This window comes from Homo sapiens, chromosome 2 (genome assembly GCF_000001405.40).
Source record: "Homo sapiens chromosome 2, GRCh38.p14 Primary Assembly".
In the NCBI taxonomy this organism is placed as follows: Eukaryota; Metazoa; Chordata; class Mammalia; order Primates; family Hominidae; genus Homo; species Homo sapiens.
Genome location: NC_000002.12, coordinates 57378468 through 57399579, shown reverse-complemented (window position 1 = coordinate 57399579; position 21112 = coordinate 57378468). Strand labels below are relative to the sequence as shown.

Genomic DNA, 21112 nt, shown 5'->3' with positions numbered 1-21112 from the left:
GAGGTCAGGAGTTGGAGACCAGCCTGACCAACATGGAGAAAACTCGTCTCTACTAAAAGTACAAAATTAGCTGGGTGTGGTGGCGCATGCCTGTAATCCCAGCTACTCGGGAGGCTGAGGCAGGAGACTCACTTGAACCCGGGAGGTTGCGGTGAGCCAAGATCGTGCGATTGCACTCCAGCCTGGGCAACAATAGCGAAACTCCATCTCAAAAAAAAAAAAAAAAAAAGGAAAAAAGAAAAGAAAAAAGAAAAAGAAACAGTGTCTAAAACTTTCCTAAATTTGGTAAAAAACAAAGGCAACATACAAATCTGAGTAGTCAGCAAATCTTAAGCAGAATAAAAGAAGAAGAAAACACCTCAACATATCATAGTCAAGTTGATAAAAACAGAGAGACAGAGAGAGAGAGAAAGAGAGAAATGGGTGTCTTGAAAACCTGTCTTTTGAAAATAATGGAGGAAGGAAGACAATGTAATGGTATCTTTAAAGAGATGAAAGATGGAGGTAGAGCAAGATGGCTAAATAGAAGCCTCCGGCAATCATCCTTGCTGTAGGAATACCAACCTGAACAACTATCCACACAAAAAACACCTTCATAAGAACCAATGATCAAGTGAGTAATCACAGTAGCTGGCTTTAATCATATTAAGGAAAGACGTATTGAAGAGAATAGAAGAAACAGTCTTGAATCATTGATACCATACTTGCATGTTCTGTTAGTGGCTGCATGGCACAGAGAGAGACTGTGCACTTGGGAGAGAAAGAGCACAGTGATTGTGGGACTTTGCATTGGAACTCAGTGTGGTTCTGTTATAGTGGAAAGCAAAAGAGGGCAAAACTCAGCCACTGCCCACAGAGGGAGCACTTAGAACAGCCCTTGCCAGAGGAAAATCACCCGTACCAGTGGTCGGGACCTTATCTCCAGTAATCCCCACCACTGCAGGCTAAAGGGCTCTGGGGTCTTAAATAAACATGAAAGGCAGTCCAGGCCACAGGACTAGAATTACTGGGTGAGTACTAGTTCTGTGCTGGGGACACACAACTTAGTGAGTTGCCAGCTAGAGTGGCCAAAGGAGTGCTTGCATTGCTCCTCTCCCAACATCAGGCAGTGCAGCTCACAGCTCTGGAAGAGACCCTTTCCCTCTGTCTGAGGAGAGGAGAATGAAAAGTAAAGAATAATTTGTCTCACAATTTGGATAGCAACTCAGCCACTATAGTATAGGACACAAGGCAGCATCCTAAAGTCTCTAATCTAGGCCCTAGCTCCCAGGCAATATTTGTGGAGACACCCTTGGTCAGAAGGGAACCCCCTGTCTTGAAGGAAAGAACGCAGTCCCGGTGATGGCAGCGGTGGCCCATCTGGAGCGGCCGTTGCCCTTGACGCTGGGTGCAGTTGGGGAGGCGCAGCCAAAGCTGCATGCTCCATGGTGTCAGTGGGAGCCAGGAACAGGAAGAAACCCCGCCCCTGCCAAGTTGGAGGGGCAAGAGCTCCTCCCTTCCAGGCACAGCTGTAGCCACCCAGCCACCTCTGCAAACCTTGGCATCTCTACACTCTCGGCGGCCCGGAAAGCCACCCCTGGCTCAGAAGTGCCTGCTCCCACTGCCTGGCCTCTCCCTGCTCCCAGCACCTGCTCACATTTCAGAGCGAAGTTGTGGCTGTGCTCAGGCACTATCATGACCTGGCTGGGTGTGCATGTGCTCGAGGCAGTGCTGACATGCCAGCTCCCTGCCACCTCAGCCTCCTCCAGACTTTGGGCACTAACAGGCAAGCGAGGGAGGCTGAAGGGAGGCTAAGGGTGGCTTGGCGCAGGCCTGCAGGCAAGCCTGGATGCCATGGGCACCATGGATGGCAGGTTAATTGTGGCAGGAGGCAGACAGGTTCCTGGGCAGAAAGGGGCAGGTCCCCGGCGAAATCCCACCTTCAGGCCAGGGACGGCCTTAGACCTGGAGGCTGGGCTGCCAGTTCCGCTGAGCAGAATGAGAACTTATGGTGCTTTTTCTGGGCCCACTCACAGCCATCCATGGACGAATCAGCACACACTTCCTCCCCTGTGAAGCCCATAAAAACCCCAAACTGCGCCAGACTCAGGCAGATGACCCAATAACCTGCCTACAGAGAGGAGCTACCCACTGTGTGTCTCCTCTCTGCTGAGAGCTGAACTCTTGTCAGGACACCTGCCTGTGGAGAAGAGCTACCCACTGCAGGTCTCCTCGGAGCCGTTCTGTCACTCAGTAAAGCTCCTCTTCACCTTGCTCACCCTCCACTTGTCCATGTACCTCATTTTCTTGGATGTGGGACAAGAACTTGGGACCCGCTGAATGGCAGGGTTGAAAGAGCAGTAACTGACAGGACTGAAACATGCCCCTTGCTCACCATGTTGCGGGCAACAAGAAGGAGAGAAGAGAGAAGGAGAGAAGAAAGAAGGAGAGAAGAGCTGGAGCTCTTTGGGAAGCCCAGACCTAGGAGCTCCCCAAGCCAGAGCTATGTCACTTTCTTTGAGGCTCTGTGGTTCCTGGCATCTCCAAGCTTATGGTCCAGGCACAACAACATTCCCCAGTGCCAGCTGTGGAAGTTGCTTGCGGTACTCCTGGTCCAACTGCAGCCTAGCAGGAAGCCAGTGCCCATGCTGGAACCTGGAGCTGCCCACCCTACCACAGCCAGAGTGCCTGGCTGTGCACAGTTGCCAGACTGCACGCTCACTCACTCATACACCCTTCACCACTCTGTGGTTGGCTTGCCCTTGGCAGGCATGGGATCCAGGCTAGTGGCATGAGCTGAGTACAGCCTTCTTGGCCAAGTAGGTGGAACAAGCCAGCCAGCCCGAGCAAAACTCAGGCAGAGGTACCACTGGCCCAGAGGTTTTTGGCCAGAAAAGCAACACCCCAAGGATCCTGTGACCTTGGCAGGGCACATTACTTGCTGACTAAAAAGCCCTTGGATCACGAATAATCAGCAGTAGTAGCCAGGCAGTACTCACGGTGGGCCTGGGGTGAGAATCAGAGCGGTGCTGGCTTCAGGCGTGACTCAGCACATTCTTAGCTATGGTGCCTATGGGGAGAGACTCCTTCTGCTTGAGAAAAGGAGAAGGAAGAGTAAATGAGGACCTTGTCATGCATCCTGGGTACAACTCGGCCACAGTGAGGTAGATCACCAAGTGGGTTTCCGGGGTCCCCTATTCCAGGCCTTGACTCCTGTATGGCATTTTTACACCCAACCTGGACAACAGGAGAGCCCACTGGCCTGGAGGGAGTGATTCTGGACTGACAACTATAACCACAAGCTGACTTAGGAGCCTTTGGGTCTTAAATAAACATCGGTGCTCTGATGTTCAAAACGGTGACTCTGTTTGGAGGAAACTCAATAAAATTCAAGACAGCATAAACAAGAAATACAGAATCCTATTGGATAAATTTAACAGAGAGATTGAGATAATTAAAAAGATTCAAGCAGAAATTCTGAAGATTAAAAATGCACGTGACATATTGAAATATGCATCAGAGTCTCTTAGCAAGAGAATTGATCAAGCAGAAGAAAGAATTAGTGAGTTTGAAGACAAGCTATTTGAAAACACACAGACAGAGGAGGCAAAAGACAAAAGAATTAAAAAAAATGAAGCATGCCTTCAAGTTCTGGAAAATAGCCACAAAAGGGCAAATCTAAGAACGTTAAAAAGGAGTTATAAAGAGACATAGTGGTAGAAAAATAATTCAAGTAGGTAATAACAGAGAACTGCCCAAACCTAGAGAAATATATCAATATTCAAGTACAAGAAGGTTATAGAAGGATAAGCAAATATAATACAAAAAACACTACCTGAAGGCATGTAATAATCAGACTCCCAAATGTCAAGGAGAAAGAAAGGATTCTAAAAGTAACAAGAGGAAAAAAAAATATACAATGAAGCTTCAATATATCTAGCAGCAGACTTCATGGTGAAAACCTTACAGGCCAGCAGAGAGTGGTATGACATATTTAAAGTGCTAAAGGAGGAAATCTTTTATCCTAGCATAGAATATTCACCAAAATTGTTCTTCAAACATGAAGGAGAAATACTTCCTGAGATGAACAAATGCTAAGGGATTTCAACAACACTAGACCTGTTGTACAAATCAAATCATAGTTACACATTATATCAACAGAGTGAATGATAAAAACCATATGATCATTTCAACTAGTGCTGAAATAGCATTTGATAAAAATTCAACATTTCTTCTTAAAAAAACCCTTATATACTGAGTTTAGGAGGAAGATAACTCAATACAAAAAGGGCCACATATAACAGACTCACAGCTAGTATCATACTAAATGGGCAACAATGAAAGCCTTTTCTCTAAGATCTGGAACAAGACAAGAATGCCCACTTTCACCATTGTTATTTAACATAGTCCTGGAACTCTTCGCTACAGCAATCACATAAGAGAAAGAAATAAAGGGCATCCAAATTGGAAAGGAAGAAGTCAAATTTTTTTTTGTTTGCAGATGATACGATACTATATTTGGAAAACCTAAAGACTCCACCAAAAGAACTATTAGTAATGATTTTAAAAATTCAGTAAAGTTGTAGGATATAAAATCAACATACAAAAATCAGAAGTATTTCTATATGCCAACAGTGAACAATCTGAAAAAATAATCAAGACAGTAATCCCCTTTACAAGAGCTACAAATGAAATTAAGTGCCTAGGAATTAACCAAAGTAGGGCAAGAGCTCTATAATGAAAACTATAAAACATTGGTGCAAGAAATTTTAGAGAACACAAAAAATAATGAAACGATTTCATGCTCATGGACTGGAAAAATAAAAATTGGGCAGTATTTTCCATACTTCCCAAAGCAATCTACAGAGCCAACGTAATCGCTATCAAAATACCAGATATTCTTCACAGAAATAGAATAATCTTAAAATTTATATGGAATCACAATAGACCCAAAATAGCCAAAGCTATCATAAGCAAAAAGAACAAACTGGAAGAATCACATTATCTGACTTAAAATTATATCACAGAGTATAGTAACCAAAACAACATGGTACTGGAATAAAAACAGTTACATAGACCAATGGAACACTACTGAGAATCAAGAAATAATATACTTCTCAGTAACGCAAGAATCAAAGGAAAATTTGAGAAAATGTTAAAAATAGGAAATGTTTTATACTAAATTAGAATGAAAATACAATATATCAAAATTTAGTCTATGAACTAAAGCAACACTTATAAGGGAATGTTTTCAAGAAGTTACAAAAAGATAAGTAAATGAAACAAATAAATGGTAGAAAGAAGGAAATGATAAAATTACGGCAGAAAAGAAGAAAAATTAAAACACAAAAACAAAGGCTTGACAAGCCAAAAGTTAGTTCTTGAAAAGATTAATACAATTGTTGAAACACTACGAATATCAATCACCAACGTCAGGAAGAAAATAAAAGAAATCCTTACAGAAACTACAAACAATAAAATTAAAATAAGTGAATATTATGAATTCCTTTTGTAGGTTAAACTAGTTGAAATTGACAAATTATTATAAAATACACTTAATAAAACAAAGAATAAATGAAAATATGAATAAATCTATTAAATAATGGAACTCATCAAAAACCTTCTATCAGAGAAAACTCCAGTTTCATAGAGTCTCGTTGGTGAATTTTTTCTATTATTTAGGGAATAAGTAATTCCAGTCATACACAACTCTTTCAGAAAATAGAACACACGGTTCAACTTGCTTCATAAGATCAGCCTAACCCTGGTACCTACTGAACAAAGGCTTTATAGTAAACTAAAATGAGAGAGTAACATTTCTCATGGACATAGGCACAGACATTTTCAATAAAATATCAGCAAATTGGATGCACAAAAATATAAATAATAAAGAAGGTACAGTTTATCTTGATAATACAAAATGTTTTAACAATCCAGAATCAGTCAATGCAGTTCACTTAATTAACAAAGTAAAAAAAAAATGATCATTTTCATCAATATGTTGAATAAAAGCATTTAAGAAAATCTAACAGCCTTTCGTGATAAAAATTTCAACAAAATAGGAATGGAAATAACATTCTTTAATATGATAAAGGGCATCTGTAAAATATCCATAGCCATTGCTTTTTTTCTTAAAATTGGAGAAAGGAAGTATAGACATACTACATTTATTTATTTATTTATTTATTTATTTATTTATTTATTTATTTATATGGAGTTTGCTCTTGTTGCCCAGGCTGGAGTGCAATGGCATGATCTCAGCTCACTGCAACCTCCATCTCCCGGGTTCAAGCGATTCTCCTGCCTCAGCCTCCCGATTAGCTGGGATTACAGGCATGCACCATCATGCCCAGTAAAATTTTTTTTGTATTTTTAGTAGAGATGGGGTTTCTCCATACTATGTTTATTTCATATTGTACTGGAGGTTGTTTTGAGAGCATAACGATAAGAAAAAGAAATGAAAGATACAGATTGAAATGAAAAATGTAACACTGCCTTTATTCACAGATGATCAGACATGATTGTACAAAATAAAAACTCTAAAAATGTATAAGACAAATTTTGTATCTAATAAATAACTTCAGCAAAGTCATGAGACACTAGGACATTAAAAAATAAATTGTATTTCTATATAATATTAGTATATAGTACTAGTGTATTGAATCATGTAATCACAAATTTGTACCATCTGAGACCTAAGACTGTGACCTATTTGGAAATCTGGTCTTTGCAGTTAATTGAGTTAGGAGGTGGTTGTACTGTGTTAGGGTGGGCCCTAAATCCAATGACTAATTTACTCATAAGGAAAGGAGAGATCACAGAGACACAGAAAAGTCATGTGAAGATGGAGGCAGAGATTAAACTTACGTTGCTGCAAGCCAAGGAACCCCAGAGGTTTTCAGAAGTTGGAAATACATAACTACTCTATGATCCAATTCCTAAGATACATTAAAACATATGTTCAAAAAGAAAAGACTTCTTCATACCTGTAATCCCAGCACTTTGGGAGGCCTAGGCGGGCAGATCATGAGGCCAGAAGTTCGAGACCATCCTGGTTAACACAGTGCAACTCCATCTCTACTAAAAATACAAAAAATTAGCCAGGCGTGGTGGTAGGCGCCTGTAGTCCCAGCTACTCGGGAGGCTGAGGCAGGAGAATGGCATGAACCCGGGAGGTGGAGCTTGCCGTGAGCCGAGATCATGCCACTGTACTCCAGCCTGCATGACAGAGTGAGACTCCGTCTCAAAAAAAAAAAAAAAGAAAGAAAGAAAGACTTCTGCAGGAAAGTTCACAGAAGCTTTAAACACACACACAAAAGAGCCCCAAACAAAAATGGTGAAAGTGTCCATCAGTGGGATAATGAATTAAAAAGTTGTGATATGAAGTAGTGATAAACCAAACAGTTTGAATTAATCTCAGAAGCCAAATGCTGGCCAAACACAGAGCACATACTATATTATTTCATGTATATGAAATCCTGGTTCGTGCCATATGAATCTACGGGTATAGAAGGAACTGAAAGAAGCTTCCTGTAGAAAAAGTGAGGTTGCCTTTAAAGAGGATTTAAGAACAGTTTCTAGGTTAGGCTGATAAAAAATGTGTGTATATCTTGATTTAGGTGGTAGTTATGAGTGTATGCATGTATCAAAACTTTAAATTGCAATGAACTCCAAACACACATACGCAAACGCTCCAGTTTCTTAAATGAGTCTCTGGCAGCAAATCTTGATACCACATTTCTGTTTCTTCTCTCATTAGTATTTTTAAATGAAAGTTAAAATAAATTGAAATACAATTCTGTTTTCAAGTATACTATTTTAGTGGATCTTATCCTTTTCCTGGTCTAATTGAAGCTTCACACATTTAATGCCTTTCGGGGTGACTGATCCATAATTATGCCCAAAACTTCATGCATTTCAACTGAATGGTGTTACATATTTCTTAATCATTTATCTCCAATTTGTAGTGCTCTTCACAAGGTTCCTTATTATGTCAGTTTACCACACACCCACTTAGCTACATGGCATATTGGACTCCACCTGTGTTGGGTTTGTAGCTTCCTCTACTTCTTTCCTCCCCAGCAATTTTGGCTGATTAGTATTTCCAGTTAGTTCACAGTCACTGCCTTTCTCTAGATCATTTATAAAGATTAAAGTCAGCAGAAATCCAAGGACTAATCTCAGCAGGATGCCAGACAAGTATATTCTCAATATATGTCTTTGTCTATTAACAAGGAAATGAGGTAAAAGAAAATATCGACTTTAGTATATAACTGTTTGCAAAAGAGAATATTGGGTTCAAGGATTGACAAAATAGTCTGTCCAGAATCCATAGCAACAAAGAAACTCCGCTGCTAGAAGCATAGGTTAAAAAGGGAGCCGTTTGAGGAAGATAATTACTAGGCTAGAACACTTAGGCACCTAAAATGAGCAGAGGCATTGTGGTCACCCTGTGAACAAGGGTTTTATTAAAGATATGGTGAGTCAGGCTATCAGAGATAAAGATATTAATGGGGCTGTTAGGCAAATCTGAAGATATCATTGAGGAGCATGCAGAGCAGGTGCAACGAATAGCAGGGCTTGACTGCTACAGGGTCTTTTTGTCCTGCAGCTCGGCACAGAGATGCCTAATATCTCAATACTTTAAAAAAGTAGAAAAAAGGCTATGTATTTGCAACAACTTCTCATATGGCTCTCAGCCTGAATTCTATAGGCACTAATGTATCAGAGCATATCCTGATGTATTACACTCTTTGTTTTACTACTTGTGAAATATACCCCAAATTTACTATTTGTGAATTCCAAACTAGAGGATAAAACTCTTCCTTCTACATTTTATACTCATTTCCAACTGGTCAGATGTGTTTGATTCTTCTCTTACACAGTTCTCAGGTCATCCTCTCCTCACTATTCCCACCACCACTATCTTTGTTGAGAACCTACTCATGAGATTTATTGCAATAAATTCAGCCATTGTTTTTTATACAATGTAACTTAAAAAGTTCCTAGTATTTCCAATGATTATGAAGATAATACTACAGGTAATACTACTTCTACTACTACTGTTACCCTGTGTAATGCTTTCATGACATAGCTGAATTTCTACCCTGCCCTAGTTATGCTTATCTTTAAGAAACAAGAGACCTGTGAAAAAAAGTGTCCTTTGTAACCAGACCAGCTGAGATTGGTTAGAACCATCACAGCCAATCAAATAACTTAAAAAAGACCTCAGGCTTCACTATAATCCCATTTCCATGCTAAATAACATTCCCATCTCTCACCATAACAATGACCAGAAGAAGCCCTAAAAGGACTAAATGAAGGCAGAAGTTCACCACTCATTTCCGGAAAAGACATGACTATTCCTTCTCTCATTTTTAATATTCAATCCCATCACCAGAGAAATCCTATATTTTAACCCCTTACTCCTCATTAGTTGAGTTTATTAGTGAGCCGTTCTCCCCCTTCTCAATTTCATGGCCATGGAATCAATTCTGCACTGCTTGATGCCCACTTTTTGTTTTACATATTAGTTTCATAACACTGAACAGTGAAAGACCCCATTTTCTGGGGAACCAGACTTGTTGGTAACAATACTACTACTACTGTATCCCATTACAAACTTGTCTTTTCCCCAGGGTATGTTGTTGGTACCTTTGACAAAAATGAGTTCACTGTAGATGTATGGATTTATTTCTGTGTTCTCTATTGTGTTCCACTGGTCTATGTGTCTATTTTTATGCCAGTACAATGCTGTTTTGGTTACTATCGCTCTTTAGTATAGTTTTAAGTCAGGTAATGTGCTTTTTACAATTCTGTTCTATTTTTTCTTTTTTAATTTATTTATATTATTTATTTATTTTAAAAATTTTTGTGGGCACATAGTAGGTGTGTATATTTATGGGTACATGAGATGTTTTGATATGGGCATGCAATGTGAAATAACCACATCATGGAGAATGGAGTACCTATGCCCTCAAGCATTTATCCTATGAGTTACAAACAATCCAATAACATTTTTTAAGTTATTTTAAAATATGCAATTAAGTTATTGACTATAGTTATTCTATTGTGGTATCAATAGTAGGTCTTATTCATTCTTTCTAACTTTTTTATTTTCTGTTCATTAACTACCCACACTTTCCCCTCTCAAGTTCCCCACTACCCTTCCCAGCCTCTGGTAACCATCCTTCTACTTTCTATGTCCACAAATTAAATTGTTTTGATATTTAGATCTCACAAATAAGTGAAACATGTGATGCTTGTCTTCCTGTGCCTGGCTTATTTCACTTAATGTAATGATCTCCAGTTCCATCCATATTGTTGCAAATGACTGGATCGCATTCTTTTTTATTGTTAATAGTACTCCATTGTGTATTTGTACCACATTTGCCTTATTTATTCATCTGTTGATGGACACTTACATTGCTTCTAAATATTAGCTATCGTAAACAGTGCTACAACCAATATGGGAGTGCAGGTACATCTTCAGTATACTGGCTTGCTTTCTTTTGGGTATACACCCAGCAATAGGATTGCTGGATCATATGATAGCTGAATTTTAGTTTTCTGAGGAACCTCTAAACTGTTCTCCATAGTGGTTGTGTTAATTTACATGCCCACCATAGTGTTCAAAGCTTCCATTTTTTCCACATTCTCACAGGCCTTTATTGCCTGTCTTTTGGATATAAGCCATTTTAAATGGGGTGAGAGGATATCTCATTGTAGTTTTGATTTACACTTCTCTGATGATCAGTGATGTTGAGCATTCGGATGGAATGTTCTCTATACATCTATTAAGTCTATATGTTATATAGGGCAGACTAAGTGCAATGCTTTTTTGTTGTTTCTGTCTAGATGACCTGTTTAATGCTGAAAGGGAGGTGTTGAAGTCTCCAGCTTTATTTGTATGGAGGTTAATCTCTCTATCTCTAAGAATATTTGCTCTATATAACCAGATTCTATATTTGCTCTATATAACTGGTTTCCATAGATGCAGTTGGGTCCATATGTGTTTACAATCATTATATCCTGTTGTTGGACTGACCCTTTATCATTATTGTCTCCTCTTTAAGTTTTTGTCTTGAAATATATTTTATCTGGTATCAGTTTAACTTCTCTTGCTCTATTTGGATTTCCATTGGCATGAAATATTTTTTCCGTCCCTTTATTTTCAGTCTATGTGTCTTTCTAGGCGAAGTGTGTTCTTGTAGGCAACAGATCATTGGACCATATTATTTTATCCATTGAGCTACTCCATGTCTTTTGATTAGAGAATTTATTTCACTTACATTCAATGTTATTATTAATAAATAATTATTTACTCTTGCTATTTTGTTATTTGTTTCCTGTTTTGTGGTCTCTTTGTCCTTCTTTCCTTCCTTCCAGTTTTCCTTTTAATGAAAGTGATTTTCTGTGGTAGTGTGATTTAATTTCTTTTTATTTTTTGTATATCTGTTGTATGTTTTTTGATTTGAGATTACCAGGAGGCTTGAAAATACTATATTATAACCCATTGTTTTCAGCTTATTATGACATTCTTTGCAAAAGCCAACAAGCAAAACGTAAAAACTCCACACATTAACTTTATTACCGTAGTTTTAAATTTTTTTGTTTCTATCTTATTTTATTGTCTATGTCTTGAAAAGTTGTGGTCATTATTATTTTAGATTGGTTTATCTTTTAGTCTTTCTACTTAGAATAGGTGTAGTTTACACACTACAGTTACAGTATTATGATATTCTGTGTTTTTCTGCATACTTACTATTACCAGTGAGGATTGTACCTTAAATGATTTCTTATTGCTCATTAATGTCATTTGCATTCTGATTGAATTACTTCCTTTGGCTTTTCTGATAGCGCAGGTCTAGTATTTTTGAAACCCCTCAGCTTTTGGTTGTCTGGGAAAGTCTTTATTTCTCATTCATGTTTGAAGGGCATTTTCACTGGATATACTGTTCTAGCATAAAATGTTTGCCTTCAGCACTTTAAATATATTATGCCAGTCTCTCCTGGGGTTTCCACTTAAAAGTCTGCTGCCAGATATATGGGAGCTCCACGGTATGTTATTTGTTTCTTTCCTTTTACTGCTTTTAGGATCCATTATTTATACTTGACTCTTAAGATTATTAAATACCTTGAGCTAGTCTTATTTGGATTAAATTTGCTAGGTGTTCTATAACCCTTTTGTATTTGAATATTGCTATATTTATCTTGGTTTGGGAAGTTCTCAGTTATTATCCCTTTGAATAAACTCTCTACCCCTATCTCTCTCTGTAACTCCTCTTTATGGCAACTCTTAGATTTGCCCTTTTGAGACTATTTTCTAGGTATTTTAGGTGTGCTTCATTGTGTATTATTCTCTTTTTTACTTCATCTCCTCCTAATTCTTTCTTCTGCTTGATTAATTCTATTAAAAGATTCTGGTGGATTCTTCAGTATATCAGTTGCATTTTTCACCTTCAGAATTTCTGCTTGATTCTTTTTAATTACTTCAATGTCTTCGTTAATTTTATATGCTAGAATTCCAGGTTCTTTCTTTGTGTTATATTGAATTCCATTGAGTTTCCTTGAAAGAACTATTTTGAATTCTCTGTCTGAAAGATCACGTATTTCAATTTCTCCAGGATTGGTCCCTGGTGCTTTATTTAGTTCATTTGATGAGTTCATGCTTTCCTAGATGGTTTTATGCTTTTGGTGTTTGATCACTGAAAAGTTAGGTATCTGTGGTAGTCTTTGCAGTCTGGGCTTGTTTCTACCAGTCCTTTTGGGGAAGCCTTTTCAGGCATTCAAAAGGAATTGGCTGTTGTGATCTAAGCTGTATCTACTTTAGAGGACACCCCAAGGGCAATGCTGTGATTCTTCCAGACTCATTGAGGTATACTTTGGTGAACTTGGATTAGATCCAGAAGAATTCTCTGGATTACCAGGTAGAGACTCTTGTTTTCTTATTTTCTCCCAAAACAAAGGAGTCTCTCTCTCTGTTTTGAGCCACCTGGAGCTGTGGGTGGGGTGACACAAGCACTCACAACTTGATTTTTAGATCTCACAAATAAGTGAAACATGTGCTGAGTCAGACATGAAGCCAGCACAGAACTGGGTTTTGCCCAAGGGCTGCAGTGTCCACTACTTGGCCACTGCCTGTGTTTACTGAAGTCCCTCAGGCTCTACAATCAGCAGATGGGGAAGCCAGCCATGCTTGTTTTCTTACTTCAAGGGTGACAAGGCCCCTGACACCTCACATAGGTTTAGAAATGCTGTCCAGGAGCCCCAGTCTGGAGTAAAAAACTTTAGAAATCTACCTGTGTTCTATTATACTGTGGCTGAGTTGGCACTCAAACCATTACATGTAGCCCTTCCAACTACTCCTTCCTCTTTCTGCAGGCAGAGGAGCTTCACCCTGTGGCCACTACCTTCACAGACCCATGAGGTGCACTGCAGCTTACCAATGATATTCACTTCAAGCCCAAGGGCTCTTCAGTGTGTTTTTGGTAAATGCTGCCAGGCCTGGCATTCACCCTTGAGGGTAATGGGCTCCCTTTTGGCCCAGGGAAGGCTCAGTAATGCCATGAAAGAGGCAAGGCCTAGAAGCTGAGACCCCAATAGCCCACTTCATCCTCTACTTTCCTGTGGCTGACCTCATACCTAAGGTGCAAGACAAAGTCTCTCTTACTTCCCCACTGCTTTTCTCAAACAGGAGTCTCTCATTATAGCCACCATAGCTTGGAATGTGCCAGGTCTCACCTGGACCCAAGGCCCACAATGCAATTCCTGGGTACTACTGCTTATTCTGGGCCCAAGGGCTGTCAGCAGGTTATGAGTCCTTCCCTTTAAGGCAGTGGGTTTCATTCTGGCCAAGTGTGTGCCTAGAAATGTCATCCAGGGACTATGGCCAAAATGGGGGCCTCATGACTTTAATTAGGACTGTGTTCTACTGTGGCTGAGCTGATATCCAAGACACAAGACAAAGAAAACACGTTCTGGCCCCACAGCAGCTAGAGGTGGAGGTCTCTGACTCCCAAAGCCCAAGTGAGCATGTGTTACAGTGTGCTTTTTCAGCTTTGCCATCTGCAAACTGTTTGTGCTAATCAGCTCAGTATTCCCTCTGTCTTATCACAAGGGCAGTGGGATAGTGTGATAACCTTCTGTATCCTGAGTTCTTGCCCAGTGTACTGGAAGAATCAGATCAAACATAGGCTGGAAGGATGAGTGCAAGGTTTTACTGAGTAGTGGAGGCAGTTATCAGTGAGATGGATGGGGAGCCAGAAGTGAGGAGATGGAGTGGGAAGATGGTCTTTCCCTGGTGTTGGGTTGCCCAGCGGCCAGACTGTTCTCCAACCACCACTGCCTAAAATCCCCTTGGTGTCCAGACGTCCTTCCTCTTCTCTCTTTGTCTTCTGCGTTGTTCTGTTTTCGCTGGGCTACTGGTTCCAATGTCCAGCTGCTGGTGTGTGCCCGCTAAGGTCTCCAGTTTATATGGCGGCAGGATAGGGTGTGTAGAAGACCAAAAAGCAACTTTTTGGGCACAAAAACAGAAATGCCTGTCCTCAAAAGGGCCGTGGGTCTTCAGGCTTGACAATTGGGCCTTTACTGGGAAACCACCCTCTTCTACCCAGTATTTCCCTGTCTCCTGTTCATGTCACTGCTACCATGATTTTCAGGCAAGAAAGCATATAATTGCAAAGTGAATACAGGCTTCAGTTTTTCCTGGCTGAATATTTAGGGACACAGGAGGAATTGGCATCCTCAACTTAGTGCCATGCAGGTACAATTTTGAAACCTAATTTCTTCCAGAATTATGCTTCCTTCTGGGGTAGCTGCTTTCCCTGAGGTCAGAATGCTTATTAATATTTTCTGTCATTACTGCTGTACTTGTCTCTGCCATCCTTCCTTATAGCCAGTTTGCCCCTGTTTGGAACTTCATGAAATCAAGAGCAGAGAGTTTCCATGGAGAGTACATATGCTATGATCCCTTTCCCTGTCATTTATTATTTGACTTTTAAAGACTGATTCAAAATACAGTTATTTCAGGTTGCTCCTTCATTCTAAGGCATGAAAATTCAGGCTCCTTTGGCTCTGGGGACTTATTTCATAGATGTCAAAATGTTTATGGTTATTGTCATTAATGTCAAAATCTGTGAGTACATTTAGAGCTTCCTGAGAAAAAGAAAATTAAAAATATTGAAGTGACTGTAAATAATTATTTAATATTATCCAAGCACACAATTTTGAAAAATATATCACAAAACCCCTGCAATTCCAATAATAATACATTTATGGAATTAATTGTTTCTTGGATATTTAATATCTTTCTTTATAAATTAAAAATAATAATGTAATCCTGAAGCTATTTGAAAAGATGCTTATATCTGTACACTATATTTATAGTTTTACCACTTTGTTTATAGTCTAGCCACCAGTTTACTCATTTCTAATAAACTATATATTTTATTATTTCTCAGAGGGATGAATGTAAATTTGGATAGGTAATTCATAGATTTGTGGAAAATCAATTCATATGTATATAATGAGAATGTTATGCATTATACAGAAATATAATTTGAAGGAGTAAAATAATCCAATAGATATTCACCTTCCAGTTATTAAATGCAATCATATTTAATAGTCCATTTATTTCAACCTAAGGATAATGCTAAGCTATGAATTAGTTATAAACTGAATGTCTTAAAAGCAAATGTCCAATGCTTTTGTGATTTTTTTCAAAGCCCAATAAGCATACAAGTTAAAATATTATTTCAAGTTGAATATATATATAGATATGACATATCTATATAAATACACATATGACTTAGGATGTGTTTGTATATAGTTAACTGATAACATCCATAATTGATAACTGATAAGGATGTTGGGAAAGTGAAAACATTTTATACTTCTGTTTGGAGTACAATTTGGCACAAACTTTATAAGTAGCAAATTTTTGTACATAGCATTTAATACATAGCAAAAACCAAAATGACTTAATACCTTTGTATTCAGCAATTATGCTTCTGTTATTTATAATACACCATATGTACAGGGTTTAATAGATAAACTTGTTCCTTAAGAATAGATATTAAAGGTGAAAAAAATACAAACAGTAGAGAAGTGTTTAGAAATAATAAAATTCCATTCCATTTACCTGATGTCTCCCTGTTGTAAACCCCTGAGATAAACACTATTTATATTTTCTTAAGTTATCATCTGGAACTGCTTTATGTGAATGTGTGCACACACACATATATACTAACCTTTAAATATAAACATGATCATTCTATACATACTATTATATTAAGGCTTTTATCTTATTTATTCTTTAGAAATATTTTCATCGTTTCCTGCATATGAAAATACCATAATTTATGCAACCAATTCACTATTGATGGGCACTTAGGTCATTACAGCTTTCTGCAATAAACATACTGCAATAAATATCTCTATGTATGGATCATAGGGTGCTTTATAGGTAGAAACTTTCAATACCTTCCCAGGAATAAAATTTCTGCGACAAGGGGTATATGGTTTTAAGATGTCAATAATTACCATTAAATTTCCTTCAAAGACTTACACCACTTTTCAATGTCATCAGCAGTGAATAGAAATACCTATTTTCCAAGCACTTGCAAGTTTTTTGCTATTGCCAAACTTTTCAATCTTTGCCAGTCTAAGAGAAACAGCCAACTATGTGGAAACAGGAGCTTTGTAAGTGTACATTTGAAGTAGAAGCTGAAGATTCTTGGCCTGTGGGAAAAAAATGAACTATTTTCAGTGTGATTCAAGTATCATGAATTATGAGAGACTGATAGGAGATGGGGTCAGAGAAATTTGGCAAGGGACGGATCACATGGGGGCCTTACTGACTGTAGTAATGAGATAAAATGTTATTATGAATACATCATCAGCACATTAAATAATCTAATATTAAGTTTTGGAAAGATCCTTCAGCTGCCATATAGGGAGTAGACTGTAGTGATGAAATAATAGAAATAGGTATAGATAGAGGTTGTTAAAAAAATCAAGATGTATAAGTTTAGAAAAGGAGAAGAGATTTTATTTCTTATAAAGGGTTATGGCCTGCAAGGCGGCCACCTGCAGGCCTGGGAGCATGCCTCAGGCCAAGACCAGAAACAGACACTTCTAAAGAGGAGGGATTGGGGTAAAAGCTTGCTTTATGCAGAACAGGTTAGCTAAACATATATATTCAACAGGTTACAGGAGAAGCTATGAATATTGATGGAGGTGGTCCTGACAGATGCAGACTGAAGAAAAACACACAAAACATATGACCCATGTTCACTTTGGGGTGGAGACTTAACATTTAAATGTATTATAATTGGGGTTTATATCTTAAATGGTCTTTTCAGGACATGAAGGCACGCAAATGCACAATCTCTGAACTGGCCAGAAACAGTCCATGGTCTGTGGTCTTCTTATCAGGGGAAAGTTACTGAAATTAGTCTCTTGTCCAGTGAAAAGTGTAGTTATGGCTGGTGAAACAGGGGTGCAGTTAGTCCACAGCTGGTGGAGCTGAAAATTATTTTAATATTTTTTTTTCTTTTTATTTATTTATTTATTTTTTATTATACTTTAAGTTTTAGGGTACATGTGCACATTGTGCAGGTTAGTTACATATGTATACATGTGCCATGCTGGTGCGCTGCACCCACTAACTCGTCATCTAGCATTAGGTATATCTCCCAGTGCTATCCCTCCCCCTCCCCCCACCCCACAACAGTCCCCAGAGTGTGATTTTCCCCTTCCTGTGTCCATGTGATCTCATTGTTCATTTCCCACCTATGAGTGAGAATATGCGGTGTTTGGTTTTTTGTTCTTGCAATAGTTTACTGAGAATGATGATTTCCAATTTCATCCATGTCCCTACAAAGGACATGAACTCATCATTTTTTATGGCTGCATAGTATTCCATGGTGTATATGTGCCACATTTTCTTAATCCAGTCTATCATTGTTGGACATTTGGGTTGGTTCCAAGTCTTTGCTATTGTGAATAATGCCGCAATAAACATACATGTGCATGTGTCTTTATAGCAGCATGATTTATAGTCCTTTGGGTATATACCCAGTAATGGGATGGCTGGGTCAAATGGTATTTCTAGTTCTAGATCCCTGAGGAATCACCACACTGACAGAGTTAAACGTTAGACCTAAAACCATAAAAACCCTAGAAGAAAACCTAGGCATTACCATTCAGGACATAGGCATGGGCAAGGACTTCATGTCCAAAACACCAAAAGCAATGGCAACAAAAGCCAAAATTGACAAATGGGATCTAATTAAACTAAAGAGCTTCTGCACAGCAAAAGAAACTACCATCAGAGTGAACAGGCAACCTACAAAATGGGAGAAAATTTTCGCAACCTACTCATCTGACAAAGGGCTAATATCCAGAATCTACAATGAACTCAAACAAATTTACAAGAAAAAAACATTAATATTGTTTATATCAAGGGCAATGCATGTTTAGGAGCTAGAGAAAAACAAAAACAAAAAAACCCTTTTGGGAGTTATAGTTTATTCTTTAAGTGTAGAATGCATGACTTAACCCTTGCCTGGCAAGGCCATAGGTCCTTTTTAAAACTTGGTATCTTATTGCCACAAAGAGTCTATTCTGTCAGTCTTATCTCTGTTTTAACATTTATTTTAAATTGATAAGGTGCACATGTGAGAATAGGTGAAGGTACAGGTATAAAATAGGTATAAAAAGTTTCTACCATATTTACAATCTCTATATTTTTATTTTACTAAGAATTTTAAAACTCAGGAATAAATTTGATTTTATTAAATTACTTTTTCTTGGCTGGGCACGATGGCTCATGCCTATAATCCCAGCACTTTGGGAAGCCAAGGTGGGCAGATCACTTGAGGTCAGAAGTTGAAGACCAGCCTGGCCAACATGGTGAAATCCCGCCTCTACTAAAATACAAAAATTAGCCAGGCGTGGTGACATGTGCCTGTCATCCCAGCTACTCAGGAGGCTGAGTCAGTAGAATCACTTGAACTTGGGAGGTGGAGGTTGCACTGAGCTGAGTTTGCATCACTACACTCCAGCCTTGGCAACAGAGCGAGAATCCATCTCAAAACAACAACAACAACAACAAAAGTATTTTTGTATATATGAGATATTCTTAATGTTTTATCCCTTTACTCTAATTTATTTTAAATTGTAAGATGTGCTTACTTACTAGTGGAGCATCTGTGTTTGTTGATATAAATCCATTTTTCTAAATTCTAATTAATTAACTAATTAATTAAAGTTTTGTGATTGATAAGTCTTGTGTTTCCTTTTTTTCTTGTTCTAGGAATTTCTCCTAGGAATTTCATCAGTCTGTGTTCTTACTTTTAATTTTTAATTTTGCTAGTTACGGTTTTAAATAGTTTTATGTGACAATTTAAAATAGTATTTTTGAATCTGTGTTTCTGAACACCAAATTTTGTAATGTTTTCTTTTCAGAGCATGATTTGCAAGAGGAACTGCTACACATTTTACACTTATTTACTCCAACCTTTCCTGCTAATTCCAGGTTTATTGGTAAGCACTGGGGCCTGTTCCAAGATAGCTGCATATATATTTTTCACAGCATAACTTTTAATTCCACATTCACAATATTTACATTTTGTTTTTTATAAATGTATAATGTAAAAAATTTCTAAATGTTACCTATAAGGTAAATCCTCAAGGGTAACATTATTATAAAATACGTAGTATTTAGAAAGTTTTAAAAACCTATATTGCATGTGTGTATATTTTATAAGGTTATAAAATTGTTTAAAAATTATTATATGTTGTTTGAGTTGATATACTATATTTGGATATAGTATAATCGTTTAAACTGCTACATTATAGTCAATGATGAATAGGTTATATTTCATTTAGTTTTTTCTATTAATGGATTATTTTTAGTCTATTTAATTTGGTTCCTAGATTAATATCTATGTTGTGTCTTCTCTTAAAATTTCATATTTCCAAAATGCTGTCCAAAATATCTGTCAATAATATAGATGGATAAAAAATATTCATTTTTAGAAACTTAAAAAGTGTGATTAACCAATTTACATTTATTTTTATTGTTGTTCTTATTCTAGAATTTGACTTCATATTTTTGACAGGCATTCTTACCCTTATATTTTCTTGAGAAAGTTAATTTCTAGGAATTACATTTATCTTCATGTAACTGAATCCAAAGTTAACATCAATATAAGTAAAAAGTTGTGTTTATTGAATGGCATAGCTTTTCTTGTAATCACCTAGAACTCAGACTCTTAGAACTCAAGAGTTCCACTCTACTAATTAAATGATTCATTGTCTTGGTGTCAAGATGGCAATCCAAGTTCAGACTAGAATCATATTCCAGAAGAAATTAGAGAAGGGCAAGGGACAAAACACATGCATCCCCGGCATTTGTCATTCTCCTTAATCAGAGAAACAGTAGCTTTTCTAGTAACTCCATCCGGAAGACTTCCAATTGTGTCTCATTGGCCATAACTGCCAGTGATAATACAGCATTCTTTTTGTTTCCTTCTTATGGAGACAGTCTCACTATGTTGTTCAGGCTTGTCTCAAACTCCCAGGCTCAAGCAATCCTTCCGCCTCTTTCTTCCAAAGTGTTGGGATTACAAGTATGAACTATCACATCTGGCATACATCATTACATCATTCTTTAACCTGGTTATTTTTTATTTTTATTTATTTATTTATTTTTTTGAGACGGAGTCTCGCTGTGTCTCCCAGGCTGGAGTGCAGTGGCGGGATCTCGTCTCACTGCAAGCTCCGCCTCCCGGGTTCACTCCATTTTCCTGCCTCAGCCTCCAGAGTAGGTGGGACTACAGGCACCCGCCACCAGGCCCGGCTAATTGTTTTTTGTATTTTTTTTAGTAGAGACGGGATTTCACCGTGTTAGCCAGGATGGTCTCGATTTTCTGATCTCGTGATCCGCCCGCCTCGGCCTTCCAAAGTGCTGGGATTACAGGCATGAGCCACCGCGCCGGCCTCTTTAACCTGGTTATTTAAGCAATAGTCCCTATGGTAGTGTAGTGGCAGTCTATGCAATGTGGTGATTTTCTGAGTGTTTTCTATAAAGACATCGTTAATTTTCTAGCCCAAGATACAAGATGGT

General features: G+C 38.1%; 1 annotated feature.

The window, feature by feature from the left end:
* Positions 1655–2254: an enhancer, noted in NCBI's record as "H3K27ac-H3K4me1 hESC enhancer chr2:57624461-57625060 (GRCh37/hg19 assembly coordinates)". NCBI's record gives its function as "activates a minimal SCP1, AML or CMV promoter by ChIP-STARR-seq in naive H9 embryonic stem cells {active_cell/tissue: H9 hESC(naive)}" and the evidence as "EXISTENCE:reporter gene assay evidence [ECO:0000049][PMID:30033119]".